The sequence below is a fragment of the Homo sapiens genome, chromosome 1, assembly GCF_000001405.40.
Source record: "Homo sapiens chromosome 1, GRCh38.p14 Primary Assembly".
In the NCBI taxonomy this organism is placed as follows: domain Eukaryota; kingdom Metazoa; phylum Chordata; class Mammalia; order Primates; family Hominidae; genus Homo; species Homo sapiens.
Genome location: NC_000001.11, coordinates 144,760,246 through 144,781,564, shown reverse-complemented (window position 1 = coordinate 144,781,564; position 21,319 = coordinate 144,760,246). Strand labels below are relative to the sequence as shown.

At 43.7% G+C, this 21,319-nt stretch overlaps 1 pseudogene; it reads left to right on the top strand.

The window, feature by feature from the left end:
* Positions 1 to 21,319, top strand: part of LOC100996737 (proton channel OTOP1-like) — a 34,019-nt pseudogene that overhangs the window by 5,921 nt on the left and 6,779 nt on the right.

Sequence of the window (21,319 nt, the reverse complement as noted above, 5' to 3'; positions counted from 1 at the left end):
ATGGATGACTAGATGGGTGGATGAATAAGTGAATGATGATAGAAGCTCCAGGGAAGAAGATGATAGTTCTGGGAAGTCAACTGCACTTCAATATAAAGAAAAACATTCTGAAGTAAGCACCAGGCCATGCGTGGTGGCTCACGCCTGTAATCCCAGCACTTTGGGAGGCTGAGGTGGGCAGATCACCTGAGGTCAGGAGTTTGAGACCAGCCTGGCCAACATGGTGAAACCCCGTCTCCACTAAAAATACAAAAAGCTGGGCATGGTGGGACACAGCAAATTATGAATCATTTGCTGATCTCTGTTCTAGGTGCTGGGGTTTCAGCTATGAAAGGCTCTGCTCAGGTGGAGCTGATGTTCAGGTAGAGAAACAGCAATAAACAAACAGCTAATGAGCCCTCACTGGGAAGTTGGGGAGCGTGACCTGTGAGACTTAGCCCTCAACTTCTAGGAGCTTGGGGGTGGGGACAGAGTAAGCAGCACAGCACCCTTGAGCAGGGCTACCACCAGGGGCCTGGGAGGAGCCCAAGTCTGCAGGAAGGCTGCGAGGTTCAGGGAGGAGGCAACACCTGCACAATCTTCTTTCTTTCTTTATTTTATTTTTATCTTTTAATAAGGACAGGGTCTCCCTATGTCTCCCAGGCTGGAATGAAGTGGTGTGATAATAGCTCACTACAGCCTCGAACTCTGGGGCTCAAGTGCTCCTCCCGCCTCAGCCTCCCAAATAGCTGGGACTACAGGTGTGTGCTACCACGCCTGGCTCATTTTTTAAAAATTGATTTTTGTAGAGACAGGGGTCTCGCTATGTGGAGTGCCTGTAATCCCAGCTACTCGGGAGGCTGAGGCAGGAGAATTGCTTGAAACCAGGAGGCAGAGTTTGCAGTGAGCCAAGATCATGCCACTGCACTCCAGCCTGAACAACAGAGTGAGACTCCATCTCAATAAAATAAAATAAAATAAATTAAAATAAAATAAAAATAAAACACAAAGTAAGTACCAGCTGGTGATGGAAGGGTGCGCTTTGAGAGATGTTGAGCCTCCCAGCCCTGGGCTTGTCCAAGTAGAGATCAGATGGCTTCCGGTCATGATGCATTGGAAAGCATTCTTGCATGGGATAGAATGCAGACTAACTCTGTGGGACTTTCCGCCTCTAAGAGGGGGGTTCAAGATTCTAGACTCCTAGGAGGGATTTGGGTGCCTAACAAAGAGGAGGGGGTTCCCTCTGCCATCACTAGATGGGTACCCTATGTAGTCTTTGGATTATTCTCAAGTATTGTAGCTGGTAAACTTTCTAATTGGTTCTAATGCATCAACATTTTCTTGGCGATTGAGTGATGATAATAACATCCCGCTTATAGAACTTTCTAGGTAAGGAACACTGTTCTAGGTGACTTCCATGTAAAGACTCACTTAATCTCCTCAGCACCCCTATGAGATAAGTGTTATTACTGTCATTACATCTTAGAGATGGGGAAACTGAGGCAAAGGTAAGTTAAGTAATTGCAAAATTATATATGTATATATATTTATACATGCATAAATATATATGTATATGTGTATATATACTTATCTATGTATATGTGTATATATATACTTGTATATATATATTTATACATATATATGTGTTTATATAAATCAAAATCTGTTTCATTTGGGCACATGTGTGGCTGTTATAGCTTCCTCATACAGTCGTTGTGTTTTTTGTTTTTTGTTTTTTTTTGGGACAGAGTCTCGCTCTGTCGCCCAGGCTGGAGTGCAGTGGCGCGATCTTGGCTCACTGCGAGCTCTGCCTCCTGGATTCATGCCATTCTCCTGCTTCAGCCTACCAAGTAGCTGGGACTACAGGCACCCCCCACCACGCCCGGCTAATTTTTTGTATTTTTGGTAGAGACGGGGTTTCATCATGTTAGCCAGGATGGTCTCGATCTCCTGACCTTGTGATTCGCCCACCTCGGCCTCCCAAAGTGCTGGGATTACAGGCGTGAGCCACCACACTGGACAGTCTGTCTTTTATTATATGTAGTGATAAAAGAGGAAGGATTCTTTATCCTACTTAATACATTAAATCCCGTATGGTCTGATATTAATATTGCCATTCCAACTTTCTTTTTGTTTGCATTGCCTGATTCCTCTTTGTCCACTACTTTATTTTAAACCTTTATTACTTTGTTAAAGGTGCAATTTGTGTAAAGATCATGTAACTAGGTTTTGTTTTTAATTCAATTTTCCTATTCTTGCTGACTACTTAGTGGGAGGATTTAGATCATTCTAATTTATAGAAATAATTTATGTAGTTGACTTTTTTGTTTCCATTTTTCTTTTCGATGTTTATGATGATATATTTTACATTCCTATTTCTTCCTTTTCCTCTTCCACATTTGTCTTTTTTGAGCATTTGAAAATTTATTCTGATTTTTTATTCCATTCATGGCCATTTTTTTCTTCCCTCACTCTCATAATCTGATGCATATTACTTCATTCTTTTTTTTTGAGCCAGAGTCTCACTTTGTTGCCCAGGCTGGAGCGCAGTGGCATGATCTCGGCTCACTGCAACCTCCGCCTCCCAGGTTCAAGCGATTCTCCTGCCTCAGCCTCCTAAGTAGCTGGGACTACAGGTGCCCATCACCACACTGGGCTAATTTCTTGTGTTTTTGGTAGAGACAGGGTTTCACCATCATGGCCTGGCTGGTCTTGAACTCCTGACCTTAAGTGTTCCGCCCATCTTGGCCTCCCAAAGTGCTGGGATTATAGGTGTGAGACACCGCGCCCAGCTGCCTATTACTTCATTCTTATTTGAAAACAAAATATTGAACATTTCCCTCAGCAAGCCACACTGTGTCCCACTCCAAGATGTTCACTGCTCCCACTTCCTCTCTACCTAATGGGATGAGATCTTTAGGATACGTTTGCCTCCCTATTCCTTTCCCTTCTTCCCTCTCCTTCTTTTCCATTTATTTACCTTGAGGGCTTTCAAAGGTTTTTCTTTGTTCCCTATCCAGTCCTTTTCCAACTTAGGTTTTTTGTTGTTGTTGTTGTTGTTTTGTTTTGTTTTGTGTTGTTTTGTTTCAGATGGAGTCTCGCTCTGTCACCCATGCTGGAGTGCAATGGTGCAATCTCAGTTGACTGCAACCTCTGCCTCTTGGGTTCACACCATTCTCCTGCCCCAGCCTCCCAAGTAGCTGGGACTACAGATGCTTGCCACCACGCCAGACTAATTTTTGTATTTTTAGTAAAGACGGGGTTTCAGCATGTTGGCCAGGCTCATCTCGAACTCCTGACCAAAGGTGATCCATCTGCCTCGGCCTCCCAAAGCGCTGGGATTACAGGTGTGAGCCACTGTGCTTGGCCGAACTTATGGGTTTTGTAGAGATAGTTAATAGAATTTCGCCTCAAAATGTCTATTCTGTATGACAAGTCTTTATAGGGTATGTAAATTACACATCTCAGGCAGTTTATCCATTTGAATTTAAGTTCTTCTTTTCTCTCCTATTAATCTAATTATCTATCTCCATCTGTCTCTCCATCCATTATACCTCCACCCTCCTCTAGCCTTCCACAGAGTTGATTGGTCACTATAATTTGCTCTCCTCCTCATCTTCCCCTCTTTTGGGGACTCTCTTCCAGTTCACAAGCTCCTTGGTTAAAGTCCTTTGTCAGACAAGTTATGTGGATGACAGTTTTCTCTGTTCTCTGTTCAACAATCACCTCCTTTCCTGCCCATGTACCTTCAACCTCAGTCCCCTTTTCTGCTTTACTTTTCTTCATGCACTTAGCACTTCCTGACATTCTTTATGTGTTTACTATTTACCGGTTTATTTTTTGCCTTCCCCACTAGATGTGAAACTCCTCAAGGGCAGATACTCTATTTTATTGACCTTTATATCTTCAGTGCCTGGGACAATGCCTGGCCCATGGTTGCTGCTCAATAAATAGCTGTTGAAAAAATTACATTTTGTATACTTCAAACATCATTCTGCCTTTTGCCCTGACACATGGGCGACATCTTAGCTGAGAATAAGGTTTTTGAGGTGCAGTCCTTTCCTTGTGGCACATATGTCCACTGTCTTCTGGTTTCCCAGGCTGCACAGAGGAAGTCTGTTGCCAGCTCATCTCTCTGATATTTTGTGCACACCCTAATTTATGCAATATTATACTCGTATATTTTTGTTTCTACAGCAATCTCCTATGTCTGTCTTTGAGCCCTTGGCACAATGTCTCATGCATAGTAGGAGTCCCCAAGGTGTTTGTTGTATAAACAACTGGCTGAATGAATCCATGGATGAATGGATGAACACAGGAAGAAAGGGAGGACTGAAAGAGTATATTATTGAACACTTGGCATGTCAACCACAGAGATGGTCTAGACCAGTAGTTTTCAAAGCGGGGCCTAGATCAACAGTGGCAGCCCCACTTGAAAACTTGTTAGAGATGAAAATTTTGGGGCACCACCCAGACCTACTAAATCAGAAACTCTGGAGGTGGAGCCCAGGAATTTGTGTTTTAACAAGCCCTGCAGGTGATTCTGATGCAGTTTCCAGTTTGAGAACCACTGCTGTAGACCATCCGCATTTTCTGTATGGGAATCCTGAGGTTGGGAGCAGGAAGTGACTCATGTATTCTGTGAGTGTCCAGGTCTCCGTACTTTCAGGCCTGTACTCTTGCCACTCAACCACGCTGCCTCACCTGATCTTGCTATGTTTTTTGTAATTAAAACCAACCACGTATTTGTCAAAACATTTCAAAGCACTGGGATTGAATCTCCACTCTTACAACGTTTCCGATTTCATTGGGGTGTTTCCAGGATTAAAAATGTGAGTTAGAGTTGTTTCTATAAGGCTTTGAGCAGTGGAAAAGTGCCAGGCGATTGCATTACTTTTCAGAGGAGGCTTCTCAGGCTGGGGCTGTAACGTTATAGCCCAATGTTATGGCTCATGCCCTCCTCTCTGCTCAGTGCCTTAATGCATGTCATACATGATCCAGTTTCCTCCTGTTGGCAGGAGCAAATGTGTAAATGGCAGTCATTGCTAGCCCAGGAGGGAGATGAGGAACTCTGACTTGATCAAGCACTCATGATCATTGCCTTTTTCTCACTAATTTCTTCATTTGTCACCAAGTGTCTTTTTAATGTATTTTGTACATTCCTTTCCAGTCTTTTTTATATGCAAATTTTTTATTAGTTTGTCTTTATGTTTTGGGCAAAGCCATGCTCATTATACTATCAAAGATTGCTTCCTTTCCTCAGTACACCTAGCACAGGCCCTTCCTCAGCTACTACTATAGAGCCCTTACCCATCTATTTTTTTTTTCTAATATACTTTCAGCCGGGCTCAGTGACTCATGCCTGTAATCCCAGCACTTTGGGAGGCTGAGACAGGCGGAGCACTTGAGGCCAGGAGTTTAAGACCAGCCTGGCCAGCACACCTGTAATCCCAGGTACTTGGGATTGAGGTTGAGGCACAAGATCACTTGAACCTGGGAGGTGGAGGTTGCAGTGAGCCAAGATCGTGCCACTGCACTCCAGCCTGGGTGACAGAACAAGACCCTGTCTCAAATAAATAAATAAATAAACTTTCCATTTTAGAAAAGCTTTAGATTTATGGAAAAGTTGCAAAGACAGTTCAGAGAATTCCTGTATACCTGTATGACCTGCACACTCTGCACTCTTATTTCTTATTATTTCTTATTAATATATATATATTTTGAGACAGAGTTTCACTCTTGTTGCCCTGGCTGGAATGCAATCATGCAATCTCGGCTCACTGCAACCTCCACCTCCCGGGTTCAAGTGATTCTCCTGCCTCAGCCTCCGGTGTAGCAGGATTACAGGCATGCACCACCACACCCGCTACTTTTGTATTTTTTAGTAGAGATGGGGTTTCTCCATGTTGGTCAGGCTGGTCTCGAACTCCCAACCTCAGGTGATCCACCCACCTCGGCCTTCCAAAGTGCTGGGATTACAGATGTGAGCCACTGCACCCAGCCAGCTGCACTCTTATTCTTTAGAGAACAGGATTTTAGGATTAGAGAACTGAGATTTTTGAGTAGAGCAGTGACATTCTTAGATTTCTCCTTTTTGAAAAAGCTTCTGGGAGCATTCTGTTGACTGGACCAGGCTTCGTTGATTGTGTATCATTTGTCAGACTCTGGGCTATGGGGTGGGTACAATGATGAACGGGACACAACACCTGCCTTCTAGTTTTACCTTCGCAGCTCAACAGTAGAATTTGTTTATTTATTTAGAAATAATTATTATGTTATCTTTGGGTAGAGATGGGGTTGCTTAGGCTCTTGGCCTCAAGTGATCCTCCCGCCTTGGCCTCCCAAAGTGCTGGAATTACAGGCATGAGCCACCATGCCTGGGCTAGAATTTATTTTATTAATATATTTTTAATTATGGTAAAACATGCATTTATATACATAAAATTTACCAACTTAGCAGTTTTCAAGTGCACAGCTCAGTGGTGTTAAGCACATATGCACTGTTGTGCAACCAACCTCCAGAACTTTTTCATCTCGCAAAACTGAAACTCTGTCCTCATTAAACACTAACTCTTCATTCTTCCCTCCCTCTAGCACCTGGCAACCACCATTCTATTTCTGTCTATGAATTTGCTTACGTTTGATACCTCATATAATGAAATCCTACAGTATTGTCCTTTGGTGGTTGAGTTTATTTTACTTAGCATAATGTCCTCATGGCTCATCCATACTGTATCGTGTGTCAGAATTTCCTTCCTTTTTAAGCTGAATAATATTCTGTTGTATGTCTATACCTCATTGTGTTTATCCATCCATCTGTTGATGGATGCTGGGTTGCTTCCACCTTTTGGATACTGAAAATAATGCTGCTATGAACAGGAGAATACAGATATCCCCTCGGGTCCCTGCTTTCAATTCTTTTGGGTATATACTCAGAAGTGAAAATGCCAGATCATGCCATAATGGTATTTTCAATTTTTTGAAGGCCCTCCCTACTGTTTTCAGTAGTAGCTGTACCAATTTACATTCCTACCAACAGAGCACTATTTCTCTATATCCTCACCAATGCTGGTTATTTTCTATTATTTTCTTTTTTTTTTTTTTTGATAGTAGCCATCCTGATAGTGTGAAAGTATTTTGTAGTTTTGATTTGCATCTCTCTAATAATTAGTGATGGTGAACATCTTTTCATGTACTTGCTGGCCATCTTTATGTCTTCTTTGGAGATATGTTTATTCAAGTCCTTTGCCAATTTTTAAATTGGCTTTTGTCATTGTTGATTGATCGATTTTTGGAGACAGAGTTTCGCTCTTGTTGCCCAGGAGTGCCATGGCATGATCTCGGCTCACTGCAACCTCTGCCTCCCTGGTTCAAGGGATTCTCCTGCCTCAGCATCCCAAGTAGCTGGGAATATAGGCATGCACCACCATACCAGGCTAATTTTTGTATTATTAGTAGAGACAGGTTTCACCACGTTGGCCGGACTGGTCTCCAACTTCTGACCTCAAGTTATTCACCCTCCTCGGCCTCCCAAAGTGCTGGGATTACAGGTGCGAGCCACTGTGCCCAGCCCATTGCTGTCAATGTATAAGAATTCTCTATAAATTCTCTCATAGCAGCATTATTTTCAGTATCCAAAAGGTGGAAGCGACCCAGCATCCATCAACAGATAGATGGATAAACACAGTGAGGTATAGACATACAACAAAATATTATTCGGCTTAAAAAGGAAGGAAATTCTGACACACGATACAGTATGGATGAGCCATAAGGACATTATGCTAAGTAAAATAAACTCAACCACCAAAGGACAGTACTGTACGATTTCATTATATGAGGTATTTAATGTAAACAAATCTGTATATTGTGGATATTAATGACTTATTAGGTATATAATTTGCTAATGTTTTCTCCGGTTCTGTGGGCTGTCTTTCCACTTCGTTGGTAGCATCCTGTGATGTGCAAAAATTTTTCATTTTCATGTAGTTCATCTTATTTATTTTAATTTTTGTTGCTTGCATTTTTGGTGTCCTAGCCAAGAAATTATTGCCAAAGCCAATGTCATGAAGCTTTCTCCCATGTCTTCTTTTACAAGGTTTATACTTTTATGTTTAGATCTTTTATCTGTTTTGAGTTAATTTTTGTATATGCTGTAAGGTGAGGGTTCAAATTCATTCGTTTGCATGTGGACATCCAGTTTTCCCACATTTGTTGAAAAGACTGCCCTTTTCCCATTGAATGGTCTCAGCACCCTTGTGAAAAAATCATTTGACCATATACATAAGGGTTTAATATGTAATATAATTTATTTTGAAATGACATCAATGTATATTAATGGAATGTGTGTGTTTCCACTTCCCCCTTTATCCCACATTTAGGTAGTATCACATTGTTTGCAGTCATTACCATCATCCTGGGATGCCTTAAAATTAGATACTTCATTGGATTTTCAGAATGTTTATCAGCCACTGAAGGAGTTTTCCCTGTCACCCATTCAGTGCATACTTTGTTGCAGGTAAACCACTGATGTTTATTCATGTTGTCTCATTCCTGTGAAGTGTATCCCAGGTTGTGTAGAAACTTGTAACATCAAGACATGTGGCAAGTGGAGACAGTGTGCACAGCTGTGAACTGCAATGAACTGAGGTGAACTGAAGTCTATCTTTGAGGCTTAATTCTTCAGCTGCCTCCATTGCAAAATAAAACTCTGTGTCCCCATGGCCATTTTTGCAGGGATCCTATGAGGCAGAACTTCTAATGATGAAGAGTCAGGAAATTCTGCCAAGCCAGGGTCTACAGTAAAAGCTTGAGGGAGTTTTATTTTCTGGGTATGTAACAGGTTTATTGAGAGAATTCACATGGCATATAATTCACCCATTTAACATGTGGAATTCAACGGTTTAGTCTGTTCATAGAGTTATGCAACCATTGCCAAAATCAATTTTATTTTTTAAAAAAATTTAATATTCTTCTTACATAGAAACCTTGTGCCATTGCAATGCCTCCTCTGGGTCATGGAAGCGCTTTTGTTTTCTCGTTTGGGGATTAAAGTCTTAGAAATGTATAAGGATTTTTTCCCACAGCATTGGTAAACTTGGTATGGCTCAGAAGGAAGGATTTGATAAATATAATTTAAATACATAGCTTAGGGTCAGAAAAATCTCATGGTTGAAAAGAATGTTAGATGGGCTTTCAGGGTAGTGTTCGCCCTTGGCAGAAATCCGTGGTAATGTTATCAGAGTCAGGATCTGAATTGTTGAATTGTCAGTCTCATTTTTTTTTGTTTTTTGTTGTATATGTTTAAGGTATACAACATGATTATTTGATATTCCTATCCATAGTGAAGTGATTACTACAGTCAAGCATATTTATGTCTGTCATCTCACATAGTTGCCTTTCTTTTTTTGGATGTGGTAAGAGCACCTAAAATCTATTCTCTTAGCAAATTTCCAGTATACAATACAATAGTATTAACTACAGTCTTCACGTTGTCCATTACATCTCTAGAATTATTCATCTTACGTATTTGCAACTTTGTACCCTTTGACCAAAATCTTCTAATTTTTCCCCTCCAACTACCATTCTACTCTTTATGTTATTTTGTTTTTATTTATTAATTTAATTCAATTTTAGAGACAGGGTCTTGCTCTGTTGCCCAGGGTAGAGTGCAGTGGTGCCATCACGGATTACTGCAGCCTTGAATTCAGCTCAAGTGATCCTCCCGCCTCAGTCTCCCTAGTAGCTAGGACTACAGGCCCACATCACCATGCCCAGCTTCTACCATCTGTTTTTATGCATTGGATTAAAAACGTTTTTCTAGATACTACATATAAGTGAGATTATGCAGTATTTTTCTTTCTGTGTCTGCCTCATTTCACTGAGCACAATGTCCTCCAGATTTGCCCATGTTGTTGCAAATGGCAGGCTCTGCTCTCATTTTTTTCTAACGAAGAAGTTGGAGCTCAGAGAAGACAAGTGACTTGCTCAAAGTCACTGTGGAGACACAATGATTATTTTCTTCCTGACAAGTCACCCTGGAAGACCATGAACTTGTTCTGGTGATACTGCCATTGCTGGAAATATTTTTGGATTTCCAGTTTGAGAAGGTTCTTTGGAAAGTTTTCTACCTCTAGAAAACCAGGGATGACATGTTTAAAACTTCATCTTTTATCCAAAGTGACCGTCAGCTTGTACCCCCAGCTGACTTACCAGACAGCACTGGATGACCTTAGAGTGTTTCTCTAGATCAAACACATTCTCAAACAGTGAAGCTAACAGACAGAACGTGCCCAGTGAGCCTGGAAACAGTTTAGCTCCATGGTGGCATGGTGGGATCACTGGGGAGCTTGCTGAGGGGCTCATTTGGAGGGGCTGCCTTGCACTTGAAAGCTGTTATGAACTGAGTCATATCCCCTGTGAAATTCATATGCCGAAACCCTCATTCTCAGTACCTGAGCATGTGACTGTATTTGGAGATAGGGTCGTTTAGAGGAGATTGAGGTTAAATAAGATCATTAGGCTGGCCCAAATTCAATATGCCTAGTGTCTTTATTTTTTATGTTTTTGAGACGGAATTTTGCTTGTTGCCCAGGCTGCAGTGCAATGGCATAATCTCGGCTCACTGCAACTTCCGTCTCCTGGGTTCAAGCAATTCTCCTGCCTCAGTCTCCCAAGTAGCTCGGGTTACAGGCACCTGCCACCATGCCCAGCTAACTTTTGTATTTTTAGTAGAGATGAGGTTTCACCATGTTGGCCAGGCTGGTCTCGAACTCCTGACCTCAGGCAATCCACCTGCCTCGGCCTCCCAAAGTATTGGGATTACAGGCGTGAGGCACCGCGCCTGGCCCTGGTGTCTTTATAACAAGAGGAGAGAAGGACACAGACACACACAGAGAGACAGCCATGTAAAGACACTGGAGGAAATTGACCATCTACAAGCCAAAGAGAGAGGCCTCAAAAGGAACCAACCCTGCCCATACCTTGATCTTGGATTTCTAACCCCAGGACCCTGAGAAGAGAAATTCCTGTTATTGAAGTTGATGATCTGTGGTCCTTTGTTATGGCAGCCCAAGCTGATCAAAGATAACTGGCTGCTCATTCCAGGGGAGCCAAATCCCGTGAAGACAGAGCCTTATAGTGATACAGTGACAATGTGGAAAGCTTTCGTGAGGCCAGAACGAACTGCATTCGTTCATTCATTTTTCTTGTAGTTCATCTTTAAATACTGGACGAACATTGTTCTCAGCATGGGGAATACAAGGCTGTAAAGTCTGTGTCACACACCATGGGGGTGTCAGTTAGGTGAGAGGCAGTCCCCAAAACAGTGACAACGCTGGGCTCAGTGCTTTGACCAGAGTGTCCCAGAGCAATGAGGGAGCACAAAGGAGGGCATTTTGGCAGCTTGGAGTGACAGTCAATTTCTGCCAGGGAAGGTCCCAGAACCGTTTGTGAGAGAGGGAGGAGCACAGGGTTAGTGGGTCAGAGGCCACTGGAAGAGGGTGTCTTTGGGACATGCAGTCTTTCCTCACAGTGGGGTAGCGGGAGGATGTGTGGGCACAGGCTGGATCCCTGTTTGGTGTAGGGCTTGTAAGCTTGCACTCTGGTCAGATTGCATGACTCTGGCTCTGACCACAGCTGTGTGACTTCAGGCAAATTACTTAACTTCTCTGGGCCTCATGGGTCTTACTTGCAAGCTGAGGACAATCACAGTACCTACTTCATGGGCTCGTTGTAGAGATTAAAGGCACATGTGTATGAAAAGCACTTGGCACAGGGCTAGGTGTGCAGCAAATTCTTGGTCAAGGCTGACCGCCACCTAGGGGCTTGGGCTTCACCTCGAGGGCAGTGGGGAGCCACTGAAGGCTTTAGGCAGAAGAATGACTGGGACAGATATGAATTTTCAAAATATCCCTCTTAGTTGGTGGGTTGGAGATCCTAGCTTTCTAATTTAAGGCATTTTATTGGCCAGGCAAGTCAATGAATTAATCATTCTATACCTGTTGGACACTTACCATGTGCTTTTGCTACATTAGATGACTGGCGAATGGAAAAAAGTATATATAACAATTAGGCGCTGTTCTAAAAAACAGAGCATTTATTTTAAAATTGTGGCAAATACTGAAAAACCTGTAGATATCAGGATGAAATCGCTTTTGTCAGACCCAGGCAAAATAGGCCTGGGAAGGCGCTAAGGAGAGGGCACTTCTGTCTACGTGTCTGAGATACAAAGTGTTTCCAAAGACTTTCTAAAAACCCTTCATGCATCTCCTGCTTTGAAGAGGTTGGACATTACTAGACATTCTTTAGGACTGCAGTAAAGCAGATAAGATGCTCTTGGAAGAACACTTGTCCAGCACTGGCATCTCCACCAATGAACTGATGACAACTCTGGCTTTGAGCCTCTAGAACCGATGAACTCTTTTTCTCTGTGGATTATGTAAATCTCTCTTTGCTAATAACAGCTCCTCCTTACCCTTCCCTCACCGAATGCGCTGGTGGCTTGCCATTCCATGCATTCTGGACTGTAATTCCTATTTCCAAGTAAATCCAACATATTTAGTGATAATTTTCTCTAGTGTCTTTTTTTTTCAGGTTGACAATCACATAACATTTACCATCTTAGTCATTTTAAGCGTATGGTTCATTAATGTTAAGTACATTCACTTGTTGTACAACCAATCTGCAAACGTTTTTCATCTTGCAAAACTGAAACTCTGAGCCCACTACACAACTCTCTATTTCCTCCTCCTCTGGCTTTTGGCAAACTCTGTTCTACTTTCTGTCTTTATGAGTTTGAATATTCTAGATGCCTCGTATGAATTGAACCATACAGTATTGGTCTTCTTGTGTCTGGCTTATTTCTCACAGCATAACGTTCTCAAGGGTCATCCATGATGTAGCCAGAATCATGGCTGAGAAGGAGCCGTGTATTTGTGTGCACATGTCTGTCTCACCCTATGGTGCCTGAGGCTCTCCCAGGGCTGCTTGAGAACTGAGTCCTTGTGTTTTTCAGGTTTGGGGTGATCCACTTGGTGTTCACCAACCTGCTTCTGTGGGCCAACGGCGTCCTCAATGAGTCAAAGCACCAATGAGCACAAGGAATGGCTCATCACTCTGGGCTTTGGGAACATAACAACAGGTGAGTGCTGAGAGAGGTGAGTGGCCCCTCTGCCATGTTGGAATGTCTTGGAAACCTGCAGAGTCCACAGTGTTCAGAGATGGAGTGCAGGTTCCAAAGAACTTCAGGCCCACCAAAGTCAGCATCAGCCAGACAGCCCCCTGTTGTTGAAAATCTTCCAAAACCTGAATCTCTCATAAGTGATGTGTACTGAGCATAATTAAAGGTTTCTTCCATGACTCAGGGACTTGTAAGACCCACGGTGATCATTCTGATGGCCATTTCTCATGGTCCAGTTTGCCGCAGAAATAAATGTCTTTGTTTTCAACTACAGAAGATTGATGGTTGCCTCTGCTTGTGTTTTTAATTAAACCTCTACTACCAGTTCTTTCTAGTAAAAGTATGGCTTTTAAAAATTCATAAAAGTCTAATGGTAGGTTGTGGTTAATAGGCTGTGGTTCATTTAAAGTTTTAATTTAACTGTAGTTGGCTTATAATTCTAGCTCATGTCTGTTCTACCTTGTTCCTATTTGAGAGCCTGTTGGGTTAATCTTTATATTTTCATCTAAAATCCTTTAGCATTTACAATATGTCACTTCTATATGAGAACATTCAGGCTGAGGGGAATGTGGGGCAGGGAACTGGGTGTCTCAGGTTTGTTCCCATCATGTACAAGCTGTGTGATCTTTAGAAGACATTTAATCTCTCTGAGCCTCCCTTTTCTCATTTGTAAAGTGAGGGTATCCAAATCACGCACTTGCAAAGATCCCTTCCAGCTTTAACATGCAGCAAGTCTGTGACAGCTGTGTGAACCCAAGCTGTCCTGGAGAGCCACTTTGAACCTGTTTTGTCATCAGTGGGGTGGAGACAACGAAGTCACCACCCCCAACCAGCAGGCACTCGGTGTTTGGGCCTCATGTCCTCCTTGGTATCAATATTAGTAGCAGCAATGACCACAATAACAAAAGTAAATTTTTATTAAGCATTTGCTGAGTGCCAGCCACTGTTGTTGGAAATTTACACATGTCATTTAATTTGTACCCCCACACTCTCTGGTAGGCTATATATGTGTGTATGTGTGTGTGTATGTATATATATATATATATATATATATATATATATATATATATATATATATAGTTGTTTGTTTTGAGACAGAGTCTCACTCTGTCGCCTAAGCTGGAGTACAGTAGCGTGATCTCGGCTCACTGCAACCTCTGCCTCCCATGTTCAAGTGATTCTCCTGCCTCAGCTTCCTGAGTAGCTGGGACTACAGGTGCATGCCACCATACCTGGCTAATTTTTGTATTTTTAATAGAGACGGGGTTTCACTATGTTGGCCAGGCTGGTCTCGAACTCCTGGCCTTGTGATCCGCCAGCCTTGGCCTCCCAAACTGTTGGGATTACAGGCGTGAGCCACTGCGCCTGGCCTCAGGTAGACAATATTAACCTCATTATATGGATGAAGGCATCAAGCCACGGAGAAGTTAGCCCAGGGTAACACAGTGAACATGTGATACAGCCATGATTTGAATCCTAACAATCTGGCTTCAAGGCCCTCTGTGAAAGATGAGGTTGGATTAATTTTCTAAAAAAGGACTCTGTCAGCTGTAACATTCTGTTACTCTGAACTTTTCCTCCTGATTTCTTCCCTTGTCTTCTGCATAACACCGTATTGAATTGTAAGTGCTAGGGAAGCCCTGTGTGAATTGAAGATTATTACTGGGGCAGTGACTCACACCTGTAATCTGAGCACTTTGTAATCCTAAGGCAGGAGCATTGCTTTAGCCTAGGAATTTGAGACCAGCCTGGGCAACAAAGGGAGACCCCAGCTCTGGAAAAAAAAAAAAAAAAAAGCCAGGCATGGTGGCATGGGCTCGTGGTCCCAGCTATAGCTACATGGGAGACTGACGCAGGAGGATCACTTGAGCCCAGGAAGTCAAGGCTGCAGTGAGCTGTGTTTGTGCCACTGCACTCCAGCCTGGGCAACAGAGGGAGACCCTATATAAAAAAGAATAAAAAAAGAAAAAGAAAATTTCATAGTGTTCTGTGAAAGTAAAATTAATGCTACGATATAGTTTTTCTCAGATTTTTTTTTTTTAGACGGAGTCTTGCTTGTCGCCCAGGCTGGAGTGCAGTGGCATGGTCTCGGATCATTGCAAGCTCTGCCTCCCGGGGGTCACACTATTCTCCTGCCTCAGCCTCCTGAGTAGCTGGGACTACAGGCGCCCACCACCACGCCTGGCTAATTTTTTGTATTTTTAGTAGAGACAGGGTTTCACCGTGTTAGCCAGGATGGTCTCAATCTCCTGACCTTGTGATCTACCTGCCTCGGCCCTCCAAAGTGCTGGGATTACAGGCATGAGCCACCACGCCCAGCTGCTTTTCTCAGATTTTATAAGTAATATATACATATCATAAACTAAAACAATGACAAAGTGTGAAGCAAAAAAATCCACAACACTTACCCAGAAATGCAGTAAATGCTGTGAATGTTTGGTTATTTTTTTGTAGTGTGCCATTTATTTATAGTTGATTTTATACTATATATTTGATCTTTTTTTATTGCAAACTTCAATAAGAGACAGATTTTACACTGTAATCCAAACACGCACATACTTATGTGTGTATGCTTGATGAAATAATACTTAATTTTACTGTATCAGAGATGCTTCCAAATTTTATCGGAGTTGATTCCACTCCATTCTATCCTATTCTAGTCCACTGAAAATTATTTCTGCTACAAAAAAGTTGGTTGCTACCTGATTTTACAGCCTTGTACTGGGTTGTGACTTGCATTAAAGAAATATACAGTTTGTTCTTACTTTTTTCCATTTTCCTTGAAACGAGATTACTTTCTTAATATTAAAACACATCCTGGCTGGGTGCAGTGGCTCATGCCTTTAATCCCAGAACTTCGGGAGGCTGAGGCGGGCAGATCGCATGAGCTCAGGAGTTCAAGACCAGCCTAGCCAACATGGCGGAACGTTGTCTCTACAAAAAATATAAAAATTAGCCGGGAGTGGTGGCATGGGCCTGTGGTCCCAGCTACTCAGCAGGCTGAAGTAGGAGGATGCTTGAGCACAGAAGGCTGATGTTGCAGTGAGCCAAGATTGTGCCACAGCACTCCAGCCTGGGCAACAGAAGGAGGCTCTGTCTCAAAACAAACAAAAAACAAAACAACCCCCCCCATACCCAAAACCATAAAGCACATCTTAATTATAACGTGCAGTGGCTGTCTACTATCTCATTGTTGGGATATACTAAAATTTACTTAACAATTTCTAAGTTGTTGGACCTTGAGCTGTTCCTCTCTCTCTCTCTCTCTCTCTCACACACACACACACACACACACACACACACACACACACACAATTTTACCTGACTTTTTTTTAAATTATTTTTTGAGACTGAGTCTCGCTCTGTCACCTAGGCCGGAGTGCAGTGGTGCGATCTCAGCTGACTGCAACTTCTGCCTCCCAGGTTCAAGCGATTCTTCTGCCTCAGCCTCCCCAGTAGCTGGTATTACAGGCTTGCCACCACACCTGGCTAATTTTTGTAGTTTTAATAGAGATGAGGTTTCGCCATGTTGGCCAGGCTGGTCTCGAACTCCCGACCTCAAGTGATCCACCTGCCTTGGCCTCCCAAAGTGCTGGGATTACAGGGCTGAGTCACCACTCCTGGCCTTACCTGACTCTTTGATTACATTTTTTTATTTGTCCCTTTGAGTAGAAGGGTAGAATGGAAAGAATGGAATTATGGGTCAGAGACTGCATCGCCTTCAGGGCTTTGGTGACCTGTTTCGTCATTTACTTGCAGCATCTGCCTTCCTGTGATGAGAGGGCCCTCCATATGACAGCCAGCTTCTCTTCCAGAAGGTGGTGCCCGTTTACTTTCCCCGCACTGATATCGGAGAGCACCTGTCTCCTGCATGCTTGCTAGCACTGGAGTCTTAAGAGGCATATCTTTTGCTAATTAAAAGGGGTATTTTCTCCAGAAAGTATTTTTTAAAAATAATCTTAAAAAATCACACATGTAAATCATCTTCACAGAGAAAATTTAGAAAATACAGGGAAGCAAAATCTAGAAGAGATTAAAAATCATCTGTCATTTTTCCACCCAGAGATAACAATTGTTGACATTTTAGTTTGTGTCCTTCCAGGTTTTTTCCATCTGTCTGTGTGTGTGTGTATCCATCTATCTATCTATCATCTACATATCTATTTTTTACAACAATAGAGTCATCTTCTCTATCCTCTTTGGCAACTCACCAAATAAATGTGATTTAGGTAATGAATATGCTTTGGGGATACTCAGGGCTATCAAATTAGCCATGATATTAAACGTGATAATAAGCCATGACATGAAAAAGCTTGTAATCCAGTGGGAAGACCCAAGCCTGAATCCACAGTGGAAACAGTTTTCTGTGCTTTTCTGCTTCCCCTTGCACCTGCTAATAGCCCCCCTGTGTGATCAACCTGTCTCCCCTAGTTTTAGATGACCACACACCGCAATGTAACTGCACGCCCCCAACTCTCTGCACCACCATCTCCCACGGGATCTACTATATCTACTACCTCTACCCCTTCAACATAGAGTATCAGATCCTGGCCTCCACAGTGCTCTACGTCCTATGGAAGAACATCGGGCGCAAAGTTGACAGCCATCAGCACCAGAAGATGCAGTTCAAGCCTGATGGGGTCACAGTGGGCACAGTCCTGGGCCTGACCGCGCTGGCCGCCACCATTGCCGTGGTGGTGGGTGGTGTACCTGATTCATATTGGGTGCTCCAAGACCAAGAGCAAGTCAGCACTCATCACGTTCTACCTGTATGTCATCACCCTGATGAAGCTTATGGGGGCTGCGGGGCTGGCTGGAATCCGGATTTACAGGACAGATGAGAAGTCACTGGATGAGTCCAAAAATCCGCCCCGCAAACTGGACTCGGACCTCTTGGTGGGCACTGCCTCAGGCTCCTGGCTTATCTCCTGGGGCTCAATCTTGGCCATCCTTTGTGCCGAGGACCACCCCCACTACACCTGGTACAACCTGCCCTACTCCATCGTGGTGATCGTGGAGAAGTACATCCAGAACCTCTTCATCTTTGAATCCATTCACCGAGAGCCTAAAAAACTCTCTGAGGACATCCAAACCCTTCGGATGGTCACAGTCTGCAATGGCAACACCATGCCCCTTGCTTCCTCCTGCCTCAAGAGTGGAGGTGTGGCCGGAGACGTGGCTCCCTGGGGCAGGGACATGCCACCAGCAGCCAATGGAAATGTGTGCCTGAGAGAAAGCTGTGACAAGGAGGAGAAGCACGAGGAGAGCAGCTGGGGAGGGAACCCAAGCCCAGTCCACCTTCCTCGTTTCTTACAGGGCAACGCCAAGAGAAAAGTCCTGAGGAATATTGCAGCCTTCTTGTTCCTCTGCAATACTTTGGTAATCTGCACCAAGTTATTCTTATTCTTTTAATTTTGCTGTAAACTTTCATTTTAGGTTCAAGGGGTACGCATGCAGATTTGTTACATGGGTAAATTGCGTGTCGCTGAGGTTTGGTGCACAAATGATCCCGTCACCCAGGTAATGAGCATAGTACCCGATAGGTAGTTTTTCACCCTGCACCCCACTTCCGACCTCTCCCCCAGTAGTCCCTAGTAGTGTCTATTGTTCATATATTTGTGTTCATGACTACCCAATGTTTAGCTCCCACTTATAAGAGAGGACATGAGGTATTTGGTTTTCTGTTCCTGTGTTAATTCACTTAGGATAAGGACTCCATTTCTATCCAGGTTGCTGCAAATAATGTGATTTCATTCTTTTTTTAAGGCTGCATAATATTCCATGGTGTAGAGCTACCACATTTTCTATTTATTTTTTTTTTGAGAGAGGGTCACGCCCCATTGCCCAGGCTGGAGTGCAGTGGCATGATCACAGCTCACTGCAGCTTCGACCTCCTGTGCTCAAGCAATCCTCCCATCTCAGCCTCCTGAGTACCTGGGACCACAGGCATGTGCCACCACACCTGGTTAATTTTAAAAACTTTTTTTGTTTTTGAGAGAGAGTTTCACTCTTGTTGCCTAGGCTACAGTGCGATGGTGCTCACTGCAACCTCTGCCTCCCGAGTTGAAGTGATTCTCTTGCCTCAGCCTCCAGAATAGCTGGGATTACAGGCACCTGCCACCACAGTTGGCTAATTTTTGAAAATATTTTTAGTAGAGATGGGGGTTTCACCATGTTGGCCAGGCTGGTTTCGGACTCCTGACCTCAAGTGATCCACCTACCTTGACCTCCCAAAATGCTAGGATTACAGGTGTGAGCCACCATGCCTGGCCAAAACTTTTTTTTTTTTTTTTTTTTTTGTAGAGATAGGTTCTCACTGTGCTGCCCAGGCTTGTCTTGAACTCCTGCGCTCAAACAATCCTCCTGCCTCAGCTTCCTAAAGTGCTAGTATTACAGATGTGAACCACTGTACCCGGCCATAATACATTTTCTTTATCCAGTCCATTATTGATGGACATCTAGGTTTCTCTTGCCTTTTTAAAATAAGGAATGGAGGCAGCTTGTAATAAAAATACTGTAAGTATAAAATTACAATATAAGGCTGGAAAATAGACCTATATTCTACAAATCTACCTACTAAAGACTTGCTGTGTGCTAGGGGCTGGGCTAGGTACTAAAGATTAAAGTGGAAAGACTCAGTCTCTTTCCTCTAAAAGGTCTCAGTATAATGGGGGAGGGAGACAATGAGCAAATCTAATATAGTGAACAGGACAAGTGCTGAGATGGGCTTGTGCAAGGTGTACTAGGAGCAGGGATCCAGAAGGACTTCAGTGAGTAGTGGGTGCTTGAGGTGAGGCCCAGTGTCAATCAGGAGTGCTTTTAGTTGCAAGTGACAGGCAATTTGATTCACAGTGTCTTCAGTCTTAACAATGTTTAATTATCTCATGAGAATTCCGGAGGTTGGCTGCTTGGGGTTGGCCTGGCAGCTGAACCATGTCATCAGGCATCCAGGCACTGTTCATCTTGTCACTTGGGTGGTGTGGTGTTTGTTGTGACATGGTCATGAGATGGCTGCAGCTGCACCAGGCATCACATCTGGGTTCAAGACAGAAAGCAGTGGGGAAGGGCTGGTGCCAGACAATGTCTCTCATGTGGGCACCCCTCACTGCAAGGGAGGCTGGGGAAGTAGAGGGTTTGCTTCCCAGCCTCTCTGATGGAAGGTAGCAAGGGAGAGGAAGGTGTACAGTCACTCACCCATCTGTCTGCATCAGCAAGGAATGACTGGAAGTTCACCAGGTTATCAAGGCGGGGAAAAGCATTTCAGGCAGAGACACACAATATGTGAAGACACAGAGGCAAAAGACACCATGGCATGTTTTGAGAGCACCAAGTAGTTTGGCATAAATTCCATGTGTGTTAAGCAGAGTAGCAGAATGGGAATTAGGAGAGAGGGCCCAGGTAGGTGGACTCTGGCTTGAGCAGGGCTTCCTAGGCCTGGCTGGAGTCTAGTCTTTATGCTGAGGGCAAGGGAAGACTCTCTCAGATTTGTGTTTTGGAATGATCCTCCCAGTAGCTGTGTGTAGCAAGGATGGAGACAGATAGGGCCAGAAGCAGAAAGACTGGGAGAGAAAGCCCTGCAACAGCCCAGGCAGGAAGGGGAGGAGCTTGAACTAGGGCAGTGATGGAGGGATGGAGAGAAGAAAAAGGAATAAGAAGCATTGTGTGCTGTTGGGATTTTTTTAAAGACACATAAAGGAAGGATGGTGGGGGTCAGTAAGAAGGAGGGGGAAGCAGCCTTTGCCACCGCATGAGTCTCTGCAGTGATGGTGACTGGTGGCTGGAGGGGAGTGCCCCAGTCCACAGAGGTGCCTGCCCATCACTCTGGGTGAAGTCAGCTCTGTGCTACTAGCCTCTGTTATCAAGCCTGCTCCCTGTTGCCCCAGCAGCTCAGAGGCTTTTGAGCTTCCTCCCCTGAATTTCAGATGGTGCATACGGGGTCTGCAGCTTTTGATATCACCCTAAGAACACAAAGTTGGGAAAGTAAGTCCCTTCTAAAGTCAGAATGGCTGTGTGTCTGCCAAGCAAACCTGATCCACCCTAGCCTTGGATCACCCAGGTTCCTTCAGTTTGCTAGGCAGTGAGGAGGGGCTCTGAAGGTGGAAGGCCCAGAAGAGTTTGGCTGCAGGGAGACCATCTTCTCCATCTAACAGACATTTGCCAGGC